At 47.3% G+C, this 23,240-nt stretch overlaps 1 protein-coding gene across 2 annotated transcripts, besides 3 other annotated features; it reads left to right on the plus strand.

The window, feature by feature from the left end:
- Positions 1-17,911: 17,911 nt before the first annotated feature.
- Positions 17,912-22,585, plus strand: IGFBP6 (insulin like growth factor binding protein 6). 2 transcript variants are annotated; one of them, NM_002178.3, is made up of 4 exons: positions 17,912-18,296; positions 20,957-21,102; positions 21,286-21,405; positions 22,290-22,585. In NM_002178.3, exons 1-4 carry the CDS (start codon positions 17,963-17,965, stop codon positions 22,410-22,412), a joined length of 723 nt encoding a protein of 240 aa, NP_002169.1. In that variant the 5' UTR covers positions 17,912-17,962; the 3' UTR covers positions 22,413-22,585. The 2 variants fall into 2 exon arrangements, with proteins under 2 accessions (NP_002169.1, XP_047284742.1); XM_047428786.1 differs by lacking the exons at positions 21,286-21,405; positions 22,290-22,585 and adding an exon at positions 19,512-19,569 and having other exon boundaries at positions 20,957-21,048.
- Positions 18,220-18,299: a silencer, noted in NCBI's record as "silent region_4493". NCBI's record gives its function as "represses an Ori minimal core promoter by ATAC-STARR-seq in GM12878 lymphoblastoid cells {active_cell/tissue: GM12878}" and the evidence as "EXISTENCE:reporter gene assay evidence [ECO:0000049][PMID:35858748]".
- Positions 18,310-18,429: a silencer, noted in NCBI's record as "silent region_4494". NCBI's record gives its function as "represses an Ori minimal core promoter by ATAC-STARR-seq in GM12878 lymphoblastoid cells {active_cell/tissue: GM12878}" and the evidence as "EXISTENCE:reporter gene assay evidence [ECO:0000049][PMID:35858748]".
- Positions 19,717-19,932: a silencer, noted in NCBI's record as "fragment chr12:53493256-53493471 (GRCh37/hg19 assembly coordinates)". NCBI's record gives its function as "represses an EF-1alpha promoter that drives an FKBP-Casp9 reporter gene in an ReSE screen in phorbol 12-myristate 13-acetate-treated (for megakaryocytic differentiation) K562 erythroleukemia cells {active_cell/tissue: K562(+PMA)}" and the evidence as "EXISTENCE:reporter gene assay evidence [ECO:0000049][PMID:32094911]".

Below are 23,240 nucleotides of genomic sequence, written 5' to 3' on the forward strand. Positions count from 1 at the left end.
CTTTACCGGAATGTCCATTTAATCCACGGTGCAGCCTTATGAAATAAATCTTATCTCCTTTTTACGGATGGGCCGAAGGCTGGCCTCGATAGCCTGCGCGCTTAACTGTTATGCTGTGTACCCTCCCGAGCTCTGTTTCATGGCACCGCTCGCTCATTATTGGCAAGAACATTCCATTCCAGGAGGAGAGAACTGGGGATGCAGAAGGCACAGTGGCACGAAGCGGCATTCTGTGGAGGAACACAGGGCTTTGGTAGGCTGAAGGAAAGTTAGACTGGGGTTAGAATGTGAAGGGACGAAGACACGAATATTTATTGAACACCTACTAGGGAGTGCCTACCTGCCATTCTGGGGGGTTGGACTCCTAGATGAGGACTTCCTTGCTCCCTTCCCATCACCATATCTCTCTCTTCTGGACGGAAAAGATTCCTCTCCTCTGTAGCACCTCATTTATAATACTTTTTTTTTTGAGACGGAGTCTCACTCTGTCGCCCAGGCTGGAGTGCAGTGGCGCGATCTCGGCTCACTGCAAGCTCTGCCTCCTGGGTTCACGCCATTCTCCTGCCTCAGCCTCCCAAGTAGCTGGGACTACAGGCGCCCGCCACCACGCCAAGCTAATTTTTTTTGTATTTTTGGTAGAGACGGGGTTTCACCGTGTTAGCCAGGATGGTCTCGATCTCCTGACCTCTTGATCCGCCCACCTCGGCCTCCCAAAGTGTTGGGATTACAGGCGTGAGCCACCGCCCCCCGCCATTTATAACACTTATTACCGTCTTGCTTTCGTTATTGGAGTTACTTGTGTGTGTAGACCCGTCTCTGCTAGACTGTGAGCTCCTTCAGACCCCAGACTATTCTATTCTTATCACACTAGGTACTCTAACGTGTTGAGTGCCAGGAAAGCCATCAGCTCGCATACCGTGAATAGTGCCCACTCGGCATAACGGCAATGGGTGATAGGAATAGATGAGATGGGAAACAGAGAAACCCGGATTAGAGCCCCAATTCTGTGTGACTAAAAGGTCAAGGTCTTGGTGTTCTCATCCCTAAACAAGAATTATTGAAGTATGTGTTCTTTTAGCTCCCTTCCAGCCCCTGGATGACTCAGTTCTGAATAGCTACCCTTCCAACTCATCTCCACCTCCTTTTGATTCCCTCATTGCTTCTCCTCCGCTCCTCTTCTTGTGTTATGAAAATACCTCAACACTGAGCTCAGCTCTTCCCAAAGGCAGCCAGAGAGGGACAATCTTAGGAGGCTGCCAGAGTCATGTTCATCCCAGACCAGGGCTCATTCCAGAAACTAACTAGCTAGGTGGCTAGGGTCAGACATGGAGAGAAATGGCAGAAGAAGGCATTTCCAAACTGTTACTGATGGTTGGTGATTCCACTCGGGATTTCCTCACCTTTAAGTTCCAGATGTGGGGCTCACCTTTTTGGCGAATTCTCCATCCATTGGCATGCTCAGGACCCAGTTGGTAATTTGTGTTTGGTGTCTACATGTATTTGAATAAACAACTTTATTGCCATATAACCGACATACAATAAACCATATATATTTAAGGTGTACAATTTATTCCTTTCTTTTTTTAATTAGAGACGAAGTCTCACTGTGTTGCCCAGGCTAGTCTCAAACTCCTGAGCTCAAGCAACCCTCCCACCTCAGCCTCCCAAAGTTCGAGGATTACAGGTATGAGCCACTGCACCTAGCCAAGGTATACAATTTGATAAGCTACTTATATACCTATGAAAATGAAAATGTCACCACACCCAAGATAGTGACCATATCATCATCATCCCTAAAAATTTCCTCATGCTCCTTTATAATCCCTCTCTCTCACTCTTTCATCCCTAGGAACCACTAATCTGCTTTTTGAAACTTTTTTTTTTGAGACAGAGTCTCACTCTGTCGCCCAGGCTGGAGAGCAATGGGGCAATCTTGGCTCACTACAACCTCCACCTCCCGGGTTGAAGGGATTCTCCTGCCTCAGTTTCCCAAGTAGCTGGGATTATAGATGCCCGCCACCACGCCTGGCTAATTTTTGTATTTTTAGTAGAGACGGAGTTTCACTATGTTGGCCAGGCTGGTCTTGAACTCCTGCCTCAGCCTCCCAAAGTGCTGGGATTACAAGCATGAGCCACCGCGCCCAGCCCACTAATCTGCCTTTTTGTCACTATCTTAGTTAGCATTTCCTAGAATTTTATGTAAGTGGAATCATACAGTAAATCCTCTTTGAGGAGGGATGTGTCTGGCTTCTTTTGTTCAGCGTAATTACCTTGAGAGATTCATCCATATTGTTGTTTGTGTTAATAGTTTTTATTTATTTATTTATTTGGGGCAGGGTCTTGCTCTGTTGCCCAGGCTGGAGAGCAATGGCGTGATCAAGGCTTATTGCAACTTCAAACTCCTGGCCTCAAGTGATCCTCCCACCTTGGCCTCTCGATTGTTCCTTTTTATTGCTGAATAGTATGCTATTGTTGGAATATATTACAATTTATTTATTCACTTGTTGATGGACATTTGGATTTTTTCAGTTTTTGGCTATTACAAATAAAGCTATGATGAATATTCATGTACAAGTCTTTGTATGGACATATTTCATCTTCTTTTTCTTTTTATTGAGATGGAGTCTCACCCTGTCACCCAGGCTAGAGGGCAGTGGCATGATCTTGGCTCACTGCAACCTCCACCATCCAGGTTCAAGTGATTCTTGTGCCTCAGCCTCTCAAGTAGCTGGGACTACAGGCATGTGCCACCACGCCTGGCTAATTTTTTTTTTTTTGTATTTTTAGTAGAGATGGGGTTTCACCGTATTGGCCAGGCTGGTCCAGAACTCCTGACCTCACGTGATCTGCCCACCTTGGCCTCCCAAAGTGTCATTTTCTCTTAAGTAAATATCTAGGAGTGAATGGCTCAGTCACATGGTAGATGTACGGTTCTTAATTGGTTAAAAAGCATCACACTGTTTTCAGAAGTAGTTGTATCATTTTACATTCCTATCAGCAGTGTGTGAGTGTTCTAGTTGTTCCACATCCTTGCCATCACTTGGTATGGTTATTCTTTTTACTTTCAGCCTTCCTAATAGGTAGGTATCACAGTGTATGAGGGTTCCAATTTGTCTACATACTCAACAACACTTGTTATTATCTCTTTTTGATTATAGCCACTTAGTGTGAAGTGGTATCTCATTTCACTTTTGATTTCCATTTCCCTAATGACTAACGAGGTTGAGCATCTTTTCATATGCTTATTTGTCATCCATATATCTTCTCTGGTGAAGTATCTGATTAAATCACTTGCTCATTTCAAAAAATTGTTTCTTATTGCATTTTGAAAGTCTTTATATATTCTAGATTCAAATTCTTTATCAGATATGTGCTTTACAAATATTTTCTTCTAGTCTGCAGCTTGTCTTCTCATGTTTTTAACGGAGTTGTTCAGGCTGGGCATGGTGGCTCACACCTGTAATTCCAGTGCTTTGGGAGGCCAAGGCAGGGAGAATTGCTCAAACCCAGGGGTTCAACACCAGCCCTGGCAATACAGTGAGACCTGGTCTCTACAGAAAATTTAAAAATTAGCCAGTCTGTTGGCACACACTTGTAATCCTAGCTTCTTGGGAGGCTAAGATGGCAGGATCACTTGAGCCCAGGAGGCAGAGGTTGCAGTGAGCCATGGTTGTGCTGCCACTGCACTCCAGCCTGGACAACAGAGTGAGACCCTACCTCAAAAAAAAAAAAAAGTTCTGCCGGGTGCAGTGGCTCACAACTGTAATCCCAGTACTTTGGGAGGCCGAGGTGGGCAGATCACCTGAGGTCAAGGTCGGGAGTTCGACACCAACCTGACCAATATGGAGAAACCCCATCTCTACTAAAAATACAAAATTATCCAGGCGTGGTGGCGCATGCCTGTAATCCCAGCTACTCGGGAGGCTGAGGCAGGAGAATCGCTTGAACCAAGGGGGCTGAGGTTGCGGTGAGCCGAGATTGCACCATTGCACTCCAGCCTGGGCAACAAGAGTGAAATTCCCTCTAAAAAAAAAAAAAAACGGGCTGGGCATGGTGGCTCACGCCTGTAATCCTAGCACTTTGGGAGGCAGAGGTGGGTGGATTGCTTGAGCTCAGGTTTGAGACCAGCCTGACCAACATGGTGAAACCCTGTCTCTACTAAAATATAAAAAATTAGCCAGGTGTGATGGCACACACCTGTGATCCCAGCTATTAGGGAGGCTGAGACAGGAGAATCGCTTGAACCTGGGAGGCGGAGGTTGCAGTGAGCCGAGATCGTGACATTGTACTTCAGCGTGGGTGACAGAGCAAGACTCCCTCTCAAAAAACAAACAACAAAAAAAAGTTCTATGTGTTAGGTTTGCATTTAAGTCTATAATTATATAATTTAGGGTCTCATTCTATTGCCCAGACTGGAGTGTAGTGTTGCGATCTCAGCTCACTGCAACCTCCACCTCCTGGGCTCAAGCAGTCCTCTCATCTCAGCCTCCTGAGTAGCTAGGACTACAGGTGGACACCACCACAGCTGGCTAATTTTTATATTTTTTGCAGAGACAGGGTTTCACCATGTTGTTCAGACCTGATCTTAAACTCCTGGGCTCAGTGATCCACCTGCCTTAGCCCCCACCAACTGTTGGGATTACAGGTGTGAGCCATAGTGCCTGGCTCCTCTATCTGTATGTATTTGTTACTATAGCTTTATAATAAGTCTTGAAATCAGGTAATATAAGTCCTCCAACTTTCTGTTTTGCATTTCCATGTGAGATAATCAGCTTGCCAATTTCTATTGAAAAAGCCCCTGGCGGCCTGGCACAGTGGCTCACACCTGTAATCCCAGCACTTTGGGAGGCTGAGACAGGCAGATCACCTGAGGTTGGGAGTTCGAGACCAGCCTGACCAACATGGAGAAACCCCACCTCTACTAAAAATACTAAATTAGCTGGGCATGGTGGTGCATTATGCCTGTAATCCCAGCTACTCAGGAGGCTGAGGCAGGAGAATCACTTGAACCTGGGAAGTGGAGGTTGCAGTGAGCCGAGATCAAGCCATTGACCTCCAGCCTGGGCAACAAGAGCTAAACTTCGTCTCAAAAAAAAAAAAAAAAGCCCCTGGGGATTTTAATTGGTATTACATTGAATCTATTGCTCAATTTTGGAAGAATAGACATTTTAACAATATATCTTTAACAATATATCTTCTGATCCATGAACATGGTATATCTCCCCATTTATTTACATCTTTTTAAATTTGTCTCAGCAATATTTCATGGTTTTTAGAGTGTAGATATTTGTCAGGTTTATCCTTAAGTATTTCATATTTTTTACAATTTGGTTAATGTTATTTTAAAATTTCAATTTCCAGTATATAAAAATTATTGCTAGTATATAAAAGTACAATTGATTTCTATATATTGACTCTCCATATACTTGATTTTGATGTATGAAATTTAATTGCTATCTTCCTAAATGTACTCTGGCTGTTTAATATTAAATTATAGGCCCTCAGCTCAAAATTTTAGGAAAGGAAAAAAATATTTACTATATTTGATATTTTGTTCAGAGCCCAAGATACTTCTTCAACAGCTGTGCCACAGATAGGCTCTAGGAGTGCATAGCTGGCCTGCCCAAAAGGATAAGACCCAGCCCTCAAACAGCCCCAGGTTGTTTTTGGAAAGAACCCAGACTTAGGCTTGGGGTATTCTCATAGCTCAGGAAGAGGAAAGAGAGGAAATCTAGTCTTTTCATGACTTGCCAGAAATCTTTTATCTATTATTTTATTAACTTGTTTCTAACTTTTTTCTTTTTCAGCTTGTGCTGTTTGTTATAATAATATATTTCTTGTTTTTATTCCCTACCACATCCCCAACATAAGGCAATCATTCTTTTTATTTGCCTTAAAGCAATCTTTCTCTTGCCCTAGAAATTGCACACAGATTGAGTATTTAGAGAATTTAGCAAACAAGTCTGTATTTAACTTATCCGCACCCTTGATGTCTTTTTACATTATGAAATTTTTTGTGGGGTTGAGGGGAGGGAGAGCATCAGGAAAAATAGCTAATGGATGCTGGGCATAATACCTAGATGATGGGATGCTCCGTGCCGCAAACCACCATGGCACACTTGTTTACCTATGTAACAAACCTGCACATCTTGCACGTGTACCTCTGAACTTGGAAGTTGAAGAAAAAAGAAAAAGGAAAGTTTTCGTGTTTCAGTGAAAAGAGTTTTGAACTTGGAATCTAGTGGATTCTGCCATCTAGCTGTGTGGCCTTTGGCAAGATATTTAACTTATTTGGATACGTCTTCTTATCTACAAAGTGGAGATGGTAATGGAACATCATGAGAATTGTACAAACATAAATAAGCAGCCGGGCACAGTGGCTCACGCCTGTAATCCCAGCACTTTGAGAGGCCAAGGTGAGCAGATCACAAGGTCAGGAGTTCGAGACCAGCCTGACCAACATGGTGAAACCCCGTCTCTACTAAAAATACAAAAATTAGCCGGGTGTGGTGGTGTGCACTTGTAATCCTAGCTACTCGGGAGGCTGAAGCAGGAAAATCGCTTGAACCCAGGAGGTAGAGGTTGCAGTGACCCGAGATCACGCCACTGCACTCCAGCCTAGGCGACAGAGTGAGACTCGGTCTCAAAAAATAATAATAAATAAATAAGTAAATAAGCATTTAGTGAATTTGAGTTGAATCTGAATATATCTGCCTCCTCTTCAGATTGAAGAGCCCTCTTCTGTTCGGTTAGCTCTGACAGGCTATTTTCCCATCCTGCTGAAACACTGTCTTTCTCTGGATCTTTTCCAGTCCAGTGAGGTCTTCCAAGGCACAGATTTCCAGCTACAAACAAAACAGCTTTGAAACAGGGTACCATCATTCATTCAACAAATACTGACTACCTTAGTATGAGCCAGAAACTGAGCTAGACACTTCATTCATTTATTACAGAAAAAAATCATTGAGTGTCTGATATGTATGTTACATGAATTATCTCTAACAATCCTATAAAGTAAATATTGCTACCCACATTTAACAGAGGTTAGATAGAGGATACGGCCCCTATCCTTAAGGAGTTCATAAGCCAGCTAAAAGCTGCTGGAAATACAAGACAAACTACAAGAGACGTTAAGAAGGGACACATGATTGTTAGAGACACGTGTGCCCCCTCTGCCTGGAAGCCTTTCCCTCAATTCCTTCCCTCACAAATTCCTATTCCTCCAAGATTCAACCAAAGCATTGTCTCCTCTGTGAAGCCTTCTGTGCTGCTTCCAGGCAAGCTTAAGTCTCTCTCCTCTTGATCCCTCTTATCCTTATATAGTGTCATTGTTGATTTACCTGTTTTCCTGATAGACTATGAGCTCCTTGGGATTAGGATAAACAGACTTACTCAATTTCACCCAGACCTTGATAATAAAAATCAAAGAACACATGGTTAGAGAGGAAGCAAAAGGTTAGAGGTGTGATCATGAGTAAAACTTTGCAGGTGTGAATTCAAAGAATATATTTGGTCAAGATGGAATCGTTCTTGCAAGGTAATAATAGGATTATAGAATTAGTGGCTTTAAACCCAAGAATTTGGACTTGACACTAGAATAAATAGGGAGTCATTGAAGGTTTCTGAGCAGAAGAGTTATTTGCTGTATTTTCATTTCAGAAAGAATAGTTTGTGTTTAGAGCAGATAGTGTCTGAAAACTGGGTAGTCCATAGGAAATGATTGCCATGGCCCAGGTGAAAGACGATGAGAACCAAACCATCATGATGGCCTTAGAAATGAAAAAACTGACTGGGTACAGGTGGCTCATGGCTGTAATCCCAGCACTATGGGAGGCCAAGGCGGGCGGATCACCTGAAGTCAGGAGTTTGAGACCAGCCTGGCCAACATGGCGAAACCCCGTCTCTACTAAAAACACAAAAATTAGCCGGGCATGGTGGCGGGCGCCTGTGCTTGGGAGGCTGAGGCATGAGAATCGCTTAAACTCAGGAGGCAGAGGTTGCAGAGAGCTGAGATCAAGCCACTGCACTCCAGCCTGGGTGACAGAGCAAGACTCCATCTCAGAAAAAAAAAAAAAAAAAAAGCTATTTATTTTAGAAGAATTCTAGATTCACAGCAAAGTTGCAAAGATGGCATGGAGAGTCCCCAAATGTCCCTCACTCAGTTTCTCACATTGATAACCTTCTATATGACAATAGTACATTGGTCAAAACTAAGAAAGCAACATTAGTGCATCACTATTAACTGAACTCCAGACTTTGCATTTGGTCATGTTTCTATTGATGTCCTCTTTCCGTTCTGGGGTCTAATCCAGGGTGCACACTGCTTTAGTTGTCATCTCTCCCCAGTCTCCCCTAGTCTGAAATAGTTTTGCAGCCTTTCTTGTTGTTGTTGTTTTATTCTTTCCAACTGTATTTTAGGTTCTGGGAGTACATGTGCTGGTTTGTTACATGGGTAAATTGTATGTCACAGGGGTATAGATAACTTTATCATCCAGGTCATGAGCATACTACTCAATAGGTAGTTTTTCAATCCTCACCCTCCTTTCACCTCCACCCTCAAGTAAGCCTTGGTGTCTATTATTCCCTTCTTTGTGTCCCCATGCACTCATTGTTTAGCTATCACTTATAAGCAAGAAAATGCAGTATTTGATTTCCTTTTTTTTTTTTTTTTTTTTTGGAGTTGGAGTCTTGCTCTGTTGCCCAGGCTGGAGTGCAATGGCATGATCTGGGCTCACTGCAACCTTCACCTCCTGGGTTCAAGTGATTCTCATGCCTTAGCCTCCCAAGTAGCTGGGATTACAGGCAAGCAACACTACACTGGGCTAATTTTTGTATTCTTAGTAGAGACGGGGTTTCACCATGTTGGGCAGGCTGGTCTTGAACTCCTGACCTCAGGTGATCCACCCGCCTTGGCCTCCCAAAGTGCTGGGATTACAGGCGTGAGCCACTGCGCCCGGCTGGTATATGGTTTTCTGTTCCTGTGTTAATCCACTTAGGATTCCTTTGTTTTTGATAACTTTGACAGTCGTGAGGATTACTGGCCAGGTATCCAGTAAAACATCCTCCAATCCGGATTTGCCTAATGTTTTTCTCACTATTAGATTAGAGTTATGGATTTTTGGAAAGAAATCTATAGAGGTAAAGTACTTCTCATCTCATCATATCAGGGGTACATGATATCAGCATGACATCACTGGTGAGGTTAACCTTGATCACTTGGTTAAGGTGGTGTTTGCCAGTTTTCTCTACTACAAAGTTAGTATTTTTTCTTTTCTGATCTCTATTCATTGGAAGCAAGTCATTAAGATCTAGCCCACTTTTTTGTTGTTGTTGTTTTTTGAGACGAAGTCTTGCTCTGTCGCCCAGGCTGGAGTGTAGTGGGGTGATCTTGGCTCACTACAACATCCACCTCCTGGGTTCAAGAAATTCTCCTGCCTCAGCCTCCCCAGTAGCTGGGATTACAGGTACACGCCACCATGCCCAGCTAATTTTTGTATTTTTAGTAGAGACGGGGTTTCACCGTGTTGGCCAGGATGGTCTCAATCTCTTGACCTCATGATCCACCCACCTCAGCCTCCTAAAGTGCTGGGATTACAGGTGTGACCCACCTCGCCTGGCCTGTCTAGCCCACTTTCAAGGCAGGAGGGGTGTTAAGTTCCACATTCTGGAAGGCAGAGTATCTACATAAATTATTTGGAAATCTTCTAGAAGAAAGTTGTCTCTTCTCCATTTATTTATTTATTGACTCAAATATTTATTTATATCAGTGTTATAGATTGAGTTGTATCCTCCAAAAGAAGATATGTTGCGGTCCTAAACCCCCCTTACCTCAGAATGTGACCTTATTTGGAAATAGGGTCTTTGTAGATTTAACCAAATTAGGATAAGGTCATGAGGGTGGACTCTAATTCAATATAACTTGTGTCCTTATAAAAAGGGGAAATTTGGGCCGGGCGCAGTGGCTCACGCCTGTAATCCCAGCACTTTGGGAGGCCAAGGCAGGCAGATCATGAGGTCAGGAGATGGAGACCATCCTGGCTAACATGGTAAAACTGCATCTCTACTAAAAATACAAAAAATAAGCCGGGCGTGGTGGCATGTGCCTATAGTCCCAGCTACTCGGGAGGCTGAGGCAGGAGAATCACTTGAACCCAGGAGGCAGAGGTTGCAGTGAGCCGAGATCATGCCATCATGCCATTGCACTCCAGCCTGGGCAACAAGAGTGAAACTCCATCTCAAAAAAAAAAAAAAAAAAAAAAAAAAAAAGAGCCCAACTGCATGGTTTGAATCTGGCTCCAAAACTCTGTGCCTCCCGGGAGGCGGAGCAGTGAGCCGAGATCGCGCCACTGCACTCCAGCCTGGGCAACAGAGTGAGACTCCATCTCAAAAAAAACCAAAAACACCCAAAAAGGGGACATTTGGACAGACAGAGGGAAAACACTGCGAAGACAGCCACGTGATGCCAGAGGCGGAGATTGAATTGACACCGCTGCAAGCCAAGAAATGCCAGAAATTGCCAGTCACCACTAGCCCTGGGAAGAGGCAAGAAAGCCCATTCTGCCCTGAGTCTCAGCGAGAGCAGGGCCCTGCTGACACCTTGATTTTGGACTTCCAGCCTCCAGAACTCTGAGACAATGTATACCTGTCTTAGCCACCCAATTTATGGCTCTTTTTTACAGTAGCCCTAGCAAACTAATACAATCAATATGCATTCGTGTATCTTTATTTTATAACTTGAGTTATAATCCAATACTATGTAATCTATTTTGTTGCTCAAATTGTTTCAGCCTCTGTCATTGAGAGCTCTTTCAGGTTGGTTCCCTTGTCCCTTTGATATGCCCCCATCCTTTTGTTTTGTGGGTACTTTCTTACTTTCTAGTGCTACAAGATGCTCTAGATCATCTATTTTCCCTGCCCCAAACCCAGAATCAGCCAGTTCTCCAAAAAATGGAGAAACGTTCTTCCTTTTTTGGAGAATGGTATTTAGAAACCAAGATCTAGCTGTGAGATATGCTACTGTTATTGTAGTGTCATTTCTTCTAGGCCCTCTGGGGCAACAGAGTTAGGTAACACATGTATGTATACTAACCATGTGCATATAGGTATCTATAATCGTTTCTGTATCTAGTCATCTGACTATATATTAAGCTAAATACAAGTTCACACTGCTGTCTCCCATTCTAACCCAGTACCACAGAGTTCATTATATAGCCTTGTGGATCTGTGACTTCTCCCTCTGACAGTGAGAAACCTGGCTCCCAACATTCATTACTTATTTGTTCAACCCCAATATATATGTAAAGCACTTTCAAAATTTTTAACCCATACTCCAATGAGAAACAGATGTACCAGTTACAGTACAGTGTTTCTGTAAAGTGCATTCTTCTTTTTGTTTTTAGCCTTTGAGAGTTTCCAGTGAAAACACTGTTTTCCAAAGTTACTTAGGTCAGCTCCTTTTCTTCTCACCCTCCTCAGTGTGTGTGTCATAAATGTGTAATATAATTAGATTAATTTGTCACAGTCTGCATTCTATCCCAGAATACCCTGGCATCCTGGCTGATTTTCTCAGTTGTTTATCGTATGTTGGATAAACAGATATTAGCACTAAGTTCTCTGGGAGCACAATTCCTACTTATGTCCATATCTCCCAGTTACATCTACATAAATAGGTGCCCTATGAATCCATTGAATGACTGAATATACTTTTATTCATTTAAATATTTTAAAAAGCAAGACGCAGGTCCTTAGTTGCTCCTTTTTGTTCACTAATGATTCCCAACTCCCAATCATCTGGCTGGCTCCAGCCCAGTCTAGAAAAGTCTTGTTCCCTTTCCAGCTCTCCTTCCTCTGATGTACCGAAACACTGGGGACCCAGGTGGAGCACACATGCACACACACACATCAACACGCATATGCTGTTTTGCTCTCCCTGCCCTTTTACCTTTACAACTGTTACACAAAGATGTGCTTTCCTCCTTGGGATGCCTTCACCATCCCCTCTCTTCATCCCTATCCATCTCTTCTCCCAAACTCTCTTGTAAAGCCCTGTTCCCTGGGAAGTCCTGTTTGATTTACCCTCGGGGCAGTTTTCCCTCTCCTGACAGCACTCTGGGCCTCTCAGACTATTGGCCTTTACCTGAGAGCAGGGAGAAGATGAAGAAAAGAGAGAGGAAGCGCTGAAGGGGTGGGAGGGCCAAGAGAGCTCCTGGAGTAGGCTGGGCTAGCGCCTAGGTCCAGGAGGATGGCGGAGCCTCCAGAAGTGTTGCAGTATCTCCGTCACCTCTCTGTCCCTCCCCCAGGACTGCCTTTGCTCCCACCAAAAACACCGATATTTCCTGGTGTCTATTCTAAAGTCCTTCTATGGGCTGGAAGCTGGAGGCCCAGAGATAAAAAAGGAATGGGGGCCCTATTCTCAAAACACCCACAATCTAACTGGAAAAATGATGCAGGAAAAGAGGAGCAAAAATATAAAATAGCAACACAATAATGTGGATGAATTAAAAGGAAGGCAGGGTGTCAACTGGCCAAGTAGGTGAGGAAGAGGTGCCAGAATTTGGTTAATGATGGGCTAGGTGTGGTGTCTCATGCCTGTAATCCCAGTACTTTGGGAGGCTGAGGTGGGAGGATCACTTGAGTCTAGGAGCTCAAGCTCCTATATTGTCCAGCCTGGACAATATAATAATAAGATCCTGTCTATATAAAATACTTTTTTTTCTTTTTTGAGGGGGGTTTCGCTCTCGTTGCACAGGCTGGAGTACAATGGTGTGATCTCAGCTCACTGCAACCTCCGCCTCCTGGGTTTAAGCAATTCTCCTTCCTCAGCCTCCCAAGTAGCTGGGATTACAGGCATGCGCCATCATGCCAGGCTAATTTTTTTGTATTTTTAGTAGAGACGAGGTTTCACCATGTTGGTTTCACCAGGCTGGTTTCGAATTCCTGACCTCAGGTGATCTGCCCACCTCGGCCTCCCAAAGTGCTGGGATTACAGGCGTGAGTAAGCACACCTGGCCTAAAAAATTAAAAAATTAGCCAGATGTGGTGGTGCGTGGCTGTGGTCCCAACTACTCTGGAGGCTGAAATGGAAGGATTACTTGAGCCCATGAGGTTGAGGCTGCAGTGAGCTGTGACTGAGCCACTGCACTCCAGCCTGGGTGACAGAGTGAGACCCTGTTTCAAAAAAAAAAGAATGTGGCTAGTGATGAGGGGAGTGAAGGGAGGGTCCTTGTAAGCTGAAAGCTTGGAGTTCAGGGGAAGAAATGATCTCTGAGCACCAATTATGCCTCATCCTCATTTCCCCTTATCCCATTTCAATCCCCAAGATGAGAAACTACCAGGGGGTTCTGGGGAAGGTGATTCAGCCAGCTAACTGAAGCAGAGTGTGTTTCAGGGTCATTGTCTACGGGACCCTGAATGTCAGGTGGAGCACAGGTTCTATGGTAGGGGAGGACATCGAGGAATAACACACACCGGGACCTGTGGGGTCGGGGGGCAAGGGGAGGGAGAGCATCAGATCAAATAGCTAAGGCATGTGGGGTTTAATACATAAATATATGGACTGGGCATGGTGGCTTATGCCTGTAATCCCAGCATTTTGAGAGGCTGAGGCGGGCAGATCATGAGGTCAGGAGTTGGAGACCAGCATGATCAACATGGTGAAACCTCGTCTCTACTAAAAATACAAAAATTAGCCGGGCACGGTGGCACGTGGCTGTAATCCCAGCTACTCAGGAGGCTGAGGCAGGAGAATCACCTGAACCCAGGAGGCAGAGGTTGCAGTGAGCCGAGTTCGCGTCACTGCACTCCAACCTGGGCGACAGAGCCAGACTCCGTCTCAAAAAAAACGAAAAACAAAAAACATAAATACATAAGTGATGGATTGATAGGTGCAGCAAACCACTGTGGCACATGTTTACCTATGTAACAAACCTGCACATTCTGCACATACATCCCAGAACTTAAAGTAAAATTTAAAAACCAAGAAATAAAAAGTAAAGTGCCCCCGAAATCCTTGAGGAGAAGAGAATTATGGGATCAGGAGCACATTTCAGCAGGACCAGTTTGGATGGTATGTGTGGGAGAGATGGCAGAAAACAGAGGCTGCAGGTTAGCTGAGGTTTACACAGTAGTTCCCATCAGGCCCACGTCAGCCTTAGGCCATGTCATGATGTGATGTGGTCATTGAACTTCCTCTCTGGGACTTTCTGTCTGTGGACTGTGCCACTGTTTCTCGTCTCAAATTTAAAGCTGAATATGGTCCAGGCAGGCCCCTTCCTTTATCCCTTGTTCTCAAAAGGAAGTCAGCACTTGGGGCACCATGAATTTAGAGGGACGGGTTGAGTGTGAGAGACACAGCATGAAGGATCAGAAAACCAGGGTATAATGTAGATGCGGAGGAGGAAGTTCCAGTAGAGTTTGTTTATGGAAAAGCTTAAGTGATAGCCCAAGCTATTTAGCCTTTCCTCAGCCTGGAAGAAACTTCTCAGCAAACCCTTCTCACACAAAGGCCAGACAGAATCCGACAGTTTTGTACCTTGGCCCACACTCTTGGTCTGAGTGCTGAACATGTGCTTCAGATTTCTGCCCTGGGTACTAAGGCAGAGGGCATCCCAATGGCAGGAAGGCAGAGTTCAAGCGTCTCAGTCTGCAAAGAGACCGGTTAGACCCTCAGTGCTGATGGCCATACAACTGGGGATCATGCTAGAGGGAGGGGGAAACAGGGAAGTGTAATCCTGGGGTGGTGGGTGGAACTGGACTGTGCAATCGGGCTTAGAATCTAGAAAGTAACAGCTGGGCAGGTGGGAGCGGCAGGCAGGGAGAATCTGAGGCAGTGGTAGCAGCGTGGGAAGCGGGGGCTGGAAATTGAGGAGGGTTGAGGAGGGAGTGGTGGATGTTAGAAGCTGGCAAAGTGTTGGGCTTTTTCTGAACGATAACCTACAAAGGAGTAGCACAGCCTTTTTTTTTTTTTTTTTTTTTTTTTTTTTTTTTTCTTTGAGACAGGGTCTCACTCTGGTTGTTCCAGGCTGGAGTGCAGTGGTGTGATCTTGGCTCATCCCTTCCACCTTAGCCTCCTAGGTAGCTGGGACTAAAGGCATGCACCACCACATCTGGCTGATATTTTGTATTTTTAGTAGAGATGGGGCTTGGTCATGTTGCCCAGGCTGGTCTGGAACTCCTGGGCTCAATTGATCCTCCCACCTTGGCCTCCCAGAGTGCTGGGATTACAGGCATGAATCACTATGACAAACATCTTTAAAGAGCCACATCAATCTGGGTGCAGTGGCTCACACCTATAATTCCAGAACTCTGGGAGGCCAAGGCGGAAGGATCACTTGAGCCCAGGAGTTCCAGACCAGCCTGGGCAACATGTCGAAACCCCCTCTCTGCTAAAAATACAATTAGCCAGGCGTGGTGGTGTGTGCCTGTAGTCCCAGCTACCTGGGAGGCTAAGGTGGGAGGATCTTCTGAGCCCAGGAGGTCAAGGTTACAGTGAGCCGTGATGGAGTCACTGCACTCCAGCCTGGGAAATAAAATGAGAACCTGCCTCAAAAAAAAAAAAAATCTAGAACCAGACCAGAAATACCATTTGACCCAACGATCCCATTACTGGGTATATACCCAAAGGAATATAAATCATTCTATTATAAAAATACATGCACATGTATGTTTATTGCAGCACTATTCACAATAGCAAAGACATAGAACCAACCCAAATGCATGGAATACTATGCAGCCATAAAAAGGAATGTGATAATGTCCTCTGCAGGGACATGGATGAAGCTGGAAGCCATCATTCTCAGCAAACTAACACAGGAACAGAAAACCAAACACTACATGTTCTCACTTATAAGTGGGGGCTGAAAACAATGAGAAAACATGGACACAGGGAGGGGAACAACACACACTGGGGCCTGTGGCGGGGTAGGGGCTAGGGGAGGGAGAGCATCAGGTCAAATAGCTAATGTATGCGGGACTTAATACCTAGGTGTTGGGTTGACGGGCAGCAAACCACATGGCACATGTTTACCTATGTAACAAACCTGCACATTCTGCACATGTATCCCAGAACTTAAAATAAAATAAAATAAAATTTAAATTTAAAAAAGAGCCACACTGGGATCCTGCAAGAGCACAGCCATCTCTTTCCCCTTCCCAACTTCCCACAGGCTTTCCATCTTATTCAGGAGCACCAACCCGAAGTCCAGGAGAAAGACCCTAAGACCCTAGCCAGAACCATGTGTAGGACAAAATAAATAGTGATAAAGGGTGTGCAGCAGGACCCCAGTACTCTGGAACCCATCTCTGACAGCCTTGGTTCCAGGGAGCTTGGTCAGAGCTTGTGGCAGGGGGTTGAAGAGCCTTGGTGGAAGGGGTGCTTTCTCTCACCCCTTTCCCAATTTTGCCCTTCCTCTCCTCTGCCCTGGTCTACTTCTCCCATCAGCAGTAGCTTCTCCCATCAGCTGCCCCACAACCCTCTCCTCCCTGCCTCTCCAGTCTGCATCAGTATCTCAGGGAAACAGGAAAACACCATTCTCCAAACACATGTCCTAGGGTCCCAGGGTTGCATGGCGAAGCGGGCTGTGCTGACAATGAGGTTCGTATTATTTCTATTTACCTAAAAGTTCAAGAAGGCCTTGCTGACATTGTTGCTTGGGGCCCAGCATTTAAACTTAGTCACTGCCCAGAGCCCTTGTTTTAGGAAAGAATGAGATGGTCCCTGTTGCATAACCCAGAGTTGGGTGGGTGTGGGTTGCCGAAGGAAACAATCCCTCTTCCTCTCTCTTGTGAGGCCTGGCTAGGAGTGCCTGGGATGGGCGGGACACTGCCTGGGGAAGGCGGGTGGGGAGCGGTGGAACCCGACCCTTGGAGCGAAGGCGGACAAGTAGGTAGGCAAAGATGCTGAGTAGTCCCTCCCCAAAGTCCCCTGGGCACAAGACAGTCTGATGAATCTAGAAAACCCCATGGATGACTGGGAGGGAAGGAAACGGATTCTGGGAGAGGAGAGGAATGGAGGAGCGAGCTTACCTGAAGGACGGGGATGGGGAGGGGGGTGGGGTCTGCTCTCTGGCCACTGTCCCCAAGAGCATCCCGAATACGAGTTCCTTTAATTCTCTCCCTCTCTAGTTTCAACCTGCCAATTTCCCCCTTTCCCTGCCTCCCAGCCAGTTCTCACCCTGCACACAGCCCTCTCCAATCCTTCCAGACTCCGCATGCGCCCACCACAATGCTAGGGTCTCCTACGGTTCATTCAAGTTGTATCCCTCCCTGCCTCCCGGCCCTTCCCCCATTGGCTTACCCCAGTCTGGTTCCCCTCGGGCCCCTTTTCTCCATAGTCTTACCTCAAGGGTGCTTTCTCTTACTCCTTTCCCAATTTTGCCCTTCCTCTCCTCTGCCCTGTTCTACTTCTCCCATCAGCAGTAGAATTTCCCAAGACCCCGTTATCCACCCTCTCCATCTTTTCTCTGTCCCTCCACATTTGCCCACTCCTCTTGTGATCCACACACACCATCTCTTCTCAGTTCCCTTTCAGCCCCCGTCTTCTCACTCCCCACCGGGTCCCTGCATGCCCCTCGTCGTCCTACACATACACACTAAGTGGATTGCACTCCCGTCCTCCCCTTCTTCCGCTCCTCCCCACCCTCCAGTCCCTCCAGCCAGCTGTACAGCTCCCAAATTCCGGGCCGAGATTCCCGGGAACAAAGCAAGAAAAATCAGAGCAATTTGGGAAGTAAACAGAAACTGGAAAGGGAGAGGGAAAGAAGAGTGGGGAGGACCCAGGTTGGGGGGGCCCTCTCCAGTCCCACCCAGTTTAGGGAATGCCCCTGCCCTCTCCCCCACCCCCCTTCACCTGGCTCTTAAAGGGCCCGGCCCCTGGCCGGCGGCTACTTAAGACAGAGGGGCGGCGGCGGGCAGCAGCTGCGCTGCGACTGCTCTGGAAGGAGAGGACGGGGCACAAACCCTGACCATGACCCCCCACAGGCTGCTGCCACCGCTGCTGCTGCTGCTAGCTCTGCTGCTCGCTGCCAGCCCAGGAGGCGCCTTGGCGCGGTGCCCAGGCTGCGGGCAAGGGGTGCAGGCGGGTTGTCCAGGGGGCTGCGTGGAGGAGGAGGATGGGGGGTCGCCAGCCGAGGGCTGCGCGGAAGCTGAGGGCTGTCTCAGGAGGGAGGGGCAGGAGTGCGGGGTCTACACCCCTAACTGCGCCCCAGGACTGCAGTGCCATCCGCCCAAGGACGACGAGGCGCCTTTGCGGGCGCTGCTGCTCGGCCGAGGCCGCTGCCTTCCGGCCCGCGCGCCTGCTGGTGAGTCCGCGCCCCGCCCCTGCCCCGCCCACGTGAGACCCGCGTCCTCCAGGCAGGGTCCTGGGGAGACGGGAGTGGGTGGCCCGGCAAGCCTTTCCGCCCTGGCCCTTGACGCTTCCGACTTTGGGGGGCACATTTGTGTGGGGGAGAAGGGGCAAGTGCAGGAAGCTGAGGTGCAGCCAGGGGACCTGGTGATACAGCAGAAGGTGTCTGCGCTCTCGGCCTTCTTTTTTGCTCCATTTATTTTCCCTTGATGGAGTGTGCGTGCAGGTGGGAACTTGGGGGAGGCAGGGGGAGAAATGGGAGGGTTTTAGGGCCATCCCATGGGCTCCAGCAGGCCCAGCTCCTACAACCCTAGACGGCCAAGCTGGGGAAAGGACCCAAATGTTGTTCTCAGCTTCCACTTGGAGAAAAGGGGAGGGGAACCCCAGACTCTGAAATTCTGCACACACTGAGAAATGACTCCTTTCCTCCTAATACCGGTGTTCGAAGCACCTAAACAGGAGGCGTCTAGAACCGAAGAGGCCCCAAATCCAGGGTTGTATTAGACTTGAGTAGGGACTGAGGGCAGGCTAGGGCGTAGGTTAGGGGAGAGGGGAGAAAGAGTAGGGGAAAGAGGGAATCTGCCAAATCAGGGTTATGATTTAAACCTGCTCAGAATCGTTCACCCATCCTACCCCACCCTGCTCCAGGGAGGAGAGCAGAAGCTGAGTCACTGGGTGGGTGGGACAGAAGTGAATCAGCCGTGAAAACATGGGGGGCAGCGGGGAGATGGGGAGGGCAGGAAATGCAAACTGCGCATCCCAGAGGCTCTGGGTTCCTTCCACGGGAGGGGATGGAGAATTCACTTGGAGTTTCTTTCAGTTCCAAATGCCCGAGTGCAGGCTTCTGGGCGTCCTCCTAAAAGGTGGTCTGGGTGGATGAGAGGAGGCAGTTTGGAACTAAATGGTTGGGTGCTAAATGTAGGGAATGAAGGAGAAGGTCTGGGGAGGGGTGGGCATCCTGAGGAAGAAGGATCAGACTCAGGATTGCAGGGGAAATGTCTCCTGGGTTGTGAGTGGTAGTTAGCTGGGAGCTTGTCTTTAGGCACAGAGGAAGAGGATCCCTTCAGGGGTTCTGATATCTGATTAGATGTTAGGCAAATTCCAAGCAGTCAGTACATGCTCCCCTTTCTGCCTTTTCCTGTCCCTGACTTATTTCCTCACCCCTTCCCAGTCCTGAGCTCTCCCCGGACCCTCCGGAAACTTTCTCCAGAGCCAGGAGCAACCTGCAGGTTGGAAGCCCCTCATTCCTTGCACCTTCTTAATCTGCCCTCAGCCTATCTTGGTTAAGGGTTGAATCCATGTGCTCCTGGGACCACTGGGGTTGAGCTGGCCTGGGTCACAGGGTACCAGAAGGGAGAGGTTCCCACTGCAGTGCCCCAGAAGTAACCACATCTCAGGCCTGGGAGGGGTGGGTTGAGTCATAGCAAGGTCACAGCAGGGACACACATTCCTTTTGGGTCCCTGTTGGCCCCCCTCCTACATCCGTTGCTCTTCTGCCCCAGCTCTCCGGCTTCGTGCGCCCCCTTCTGGCCTCTGGTGGAACAGCCAGGTCTTTTCACCCAAAGCCCAAAGCCCCAAATAGTCCTTTGAATTTGTTCTCCATTTTTTCATTTATTTTATTATTTATTGTAATTAATTGATTGATTTTTAAATTAGTTAATTTTTTAAAATTAAGTAATTAGTTAATTTTTTAAAATTAAGTAATTAATTAATTTTTTAAAATTAAGTAGTTAATTTTTTTTAATTAAGTAATTAATTAATTTTAAAAAGTATTTATTTATTTTGAGACAAAGTCTCACTCTGTTGCCCAGGCTGGAGTACAGTGGTCCAGCGTCTCACTGCAACCTCCGCCCCCCCGAGTTCAAGCGATTCTCCTGTCTCAGCCTCCGGAGTAGCTGGGACTACAGGAGCCTGATACCATGCCAGGCTAATTTTTGTATTTTTAGTGGAGACGGGGTTTCACCATGTTGGCCAGGCTGGTCTCGAACGCCTGACCTCAAGTGATCTGCCCACCTTGGCCTCCCAAAGTGCTGGGATGACAGGCATGAGCCACTGCGCCCAGCCAATAATTTATTTATTTTTGAGACAGGGTCTCACTCGGTTGTCCAGGCTGAAGTGCAGTAGCACAATCATGGCTCACTGCAGTCTTGACTTCTGGGGCTCAAGCAGTCCTCCTGCCTCAGCCTCTCAAGTAGCTGGGACTGCAGGTGCACGCCACCACACCTCGGTAATTTTATAAATTATTTGTAGAGATGAGGTTCTCATTATGTTGCCCAGGCTGGTCTCAAACTCCTGGGCTCGAGCAATCCTCCCACCTCTGCTTCTCAAAGTTCTGGGATTACAGGCGTGAGCCATTGCACCCATCCTCATTTTCCATTTTTGCTTTCCAAAATTCATCTCCTTTATAAGCCTTAAAAATCAGTATGGGAAATACTGGGGAATATTGTCAGGAAAAGTAATATAACTATTTGTCAGAGAAAGAAACTAGGGCCAGCATCATGCAACAGCGGGGCATAAGGCCCTCCCTTCCTTACTTCAGCAGGTGATGTGGGCAAGGCCCTTCTCCACATGGCTCTGCCTGATTTCTGACCTCTCCTTCTCCTATTCCTCCTCCAGTTGCAGAGGAGAATCCTAAGGAGAGTAAACCCCAAGCAGGCACTGCCCGCCCACAGGATGTGAACCGCAGAGACCAACAGAGGAATCCAGGCACCTCTACCACGCCCTCCCAGCCCAATTCTGCGGGTGTCCAAGACACTGAGATGGTGCGTTTGGAGCTGGTAGGGAGCAGGAGGGGTGGGAAGCCCTGGAGACTTCCATCTGAGACTGCTCCCTTGGGCTTGGAGACGTCTCCATTGTCTGTCCTGGGTGCTTGCCTGGTGGGCCAGAAGGTTGGAATGGGGAGCTGGGCTGGAGCGGTTCTAAGCTGCCTACTCTCCCTTCCCCAGGGCCCATGCCGTAGACATCTGGACTCAGTGCTGCAGCAACTCCAGACTGAGGTCTACCGAGGGGCTCAAACACTCTACGTGCCCAATTGTGACCATCGAGGCTTCTACCGGAAGCGGCAGGTGAGACTATTTTTCTTCTCCTCCTGCTCCAGCAGAAGGCTCCTGCCAGGGAGTGGGGGCGGTGCTGCTTACAAAGCTGCATAAATAAGACACTGCCCCATCTTTAAGGATCTTCCAACTTTAGGAGAACATAGAGAATATAATTTATTAAACAAACTTAGAGAATAATCAACCACACACTGTGAGAGAAAACCCACTTAAGGAATGCCCTAACTCAGTGGCTCTTGAACTTGAGGCATCAGAATCCTCCGGAGGGCTTATGCCACACAGATAGCTGAGCCCCACCGGCAGCCTTCCTGATTCAGGAGGTGTGGGGTGGGGCCTGACAATATGCATTTCTAACATGTTCCCTCGTGATCCGGATTTGGGAACGTCACTTTGAAAACTACTGTTCCAGGCTAGCAGAATGCACACAATTTATTGGTTGAAGAGGGGGAACTAAAGAGAGGGAACACTGGGCCGGGTGCGGTGTCTCATGCCTGTAATCCCAGCACTTTGGGAGGCCAAGGCTGGTGGATCACGAGGTCAGGAGTTCAAGATCAGCCTGAACAACCTGGTGAAACCCCATCTGTTTTAAAAATTACAAAAATTAGCCAGATGTGGTGGCATGCACCTGTAATCCCAGCTACTCAGGAGGCTGAGGCAAGAGAATTGCTTGAACCTGGGAGGTGGAGGTTGCAGTGAGCAGAGATCATGCCAATGCATTCCAGCCAGGGCGACAGAGCGAGACTCCATCTCAAAAAAAAAAAAAAAAAAAAAAAAAAGAGAGGGAACCCCCGAGGAGACGCTCAGGTGTTTTTACATCCTCAGACTCAGATGTCCCCTCTCATTCTCCTGCTGGAAGCCTCTGGCCTCACTCCTGACCTGTGTGCCTCTCTCTCCAGTGCCGCTCCTCCCAGGGGCAGCGCCGAGGTCCCTGCTGGTGTGTGGATCGGATGGGCAAGTCCCTGCCAGGGTCTCCAGATGGCAATGGAAGCTCCTCCTGCCCCACTGGGAGTAGCGGCTAAAGCTGGGGGATAGAGGGGCTGCAGGGCCACTGGAAGGAACATGGAGCTGTCATCACTCAACAAAAAACCGAGGCCCTCAATCCACCTTCAGGCCCCGCCCCATGGGCCCCTCACCGCTGGTTGGAAAGAGTGTTGGTGTTGGCTGGGGTGTCAATAAAGCTGTGCTTGGGGTCGCTGGCTTGTGTCTCTGTGTCTGCCTCTCACAATTCTGGAATCCCTGGCCCTCTCTTTACCCCACTACAGCTCACTCACAGCATTTCTCCTTTCCTGTGGATACCTTTAGTCCTTCCTGTGACAGCCAGGCAGAAGCTTCAAGCCATCAAGCCTCACAGAGCTGCCCACCAGGAGTTGGGAGTGGGAAGGGGAGACACTGAGATCATGGCCTTAATCTGAAGTTGTGACCTTGTTTCTAACACTGATCTTTGGACACAAAGGGAGGGGAAGGATTAATAGTTAATCCCAGCAGGAACCCAGCAAAGAGGAACTCTCAAAGCACATACCCTTCTGTTACTTCCTACTAAAAAAAGAAGGAAATTATTACTAATATATGAGCTCATCCCATGGCCCTGAACCATGTGATTTTACCTGGACAACCTCATTTTGAGCTTACGATAACCTTGTGATATAGGGATTTTTACCCCTATTTTTCAGAGGAGGAAACTGGCTTAAAATTTGGGGTCACTTGCCTGAAATTATATAGCTGGTAAATGACAGAGGGAGGTTTGCATCCGGTTCTTCCATATGTGACAATACCTGGTATTCCCTAGGTGCTGAATACGTGTTTGTTTAGTCTCCTTTCTGCCTACATGCTCACCCAAGCAGGTGTCA

The sequence above is a fragment of the Homo sapiens genome, chromosome 12, assembly GCF_000001405.40.
Source record: "Homo sapiens chromosome 12, GRCh38.p14 Primary Assembly".
NCBI lineage: Eukaryota > Metazoa > Chordata > Mammalia > Primates > Hominidae > Homo > Homo sapiens.

Excerpts from the sequence above, each read along its gene's own strand:
- IGFBP6 (NM_002178.3), top strand. The coding sequence starts at position 17,963 with ATGACCCCCCACAGGCTGCTGCCACCGCTGCTGCTGCTGCTAGCTCTG. Across the intron at positions 18,297-20,956 it reads TCCGGCCCGCGCGCCTGCTG|TTGCAGAGGAGAATCCTAAG; the intron begins GTGAGTCCGCGC and ends TTCCTCCTCCAG. Across the intron at positions 21,406-22,289 it reads GCTTCTACCGGAAGCGGCAG|TGCCGCTCCTCCCAGGGGCA; the intron begins GTGAGACTATTT and ends CTCTCTCTCCAG.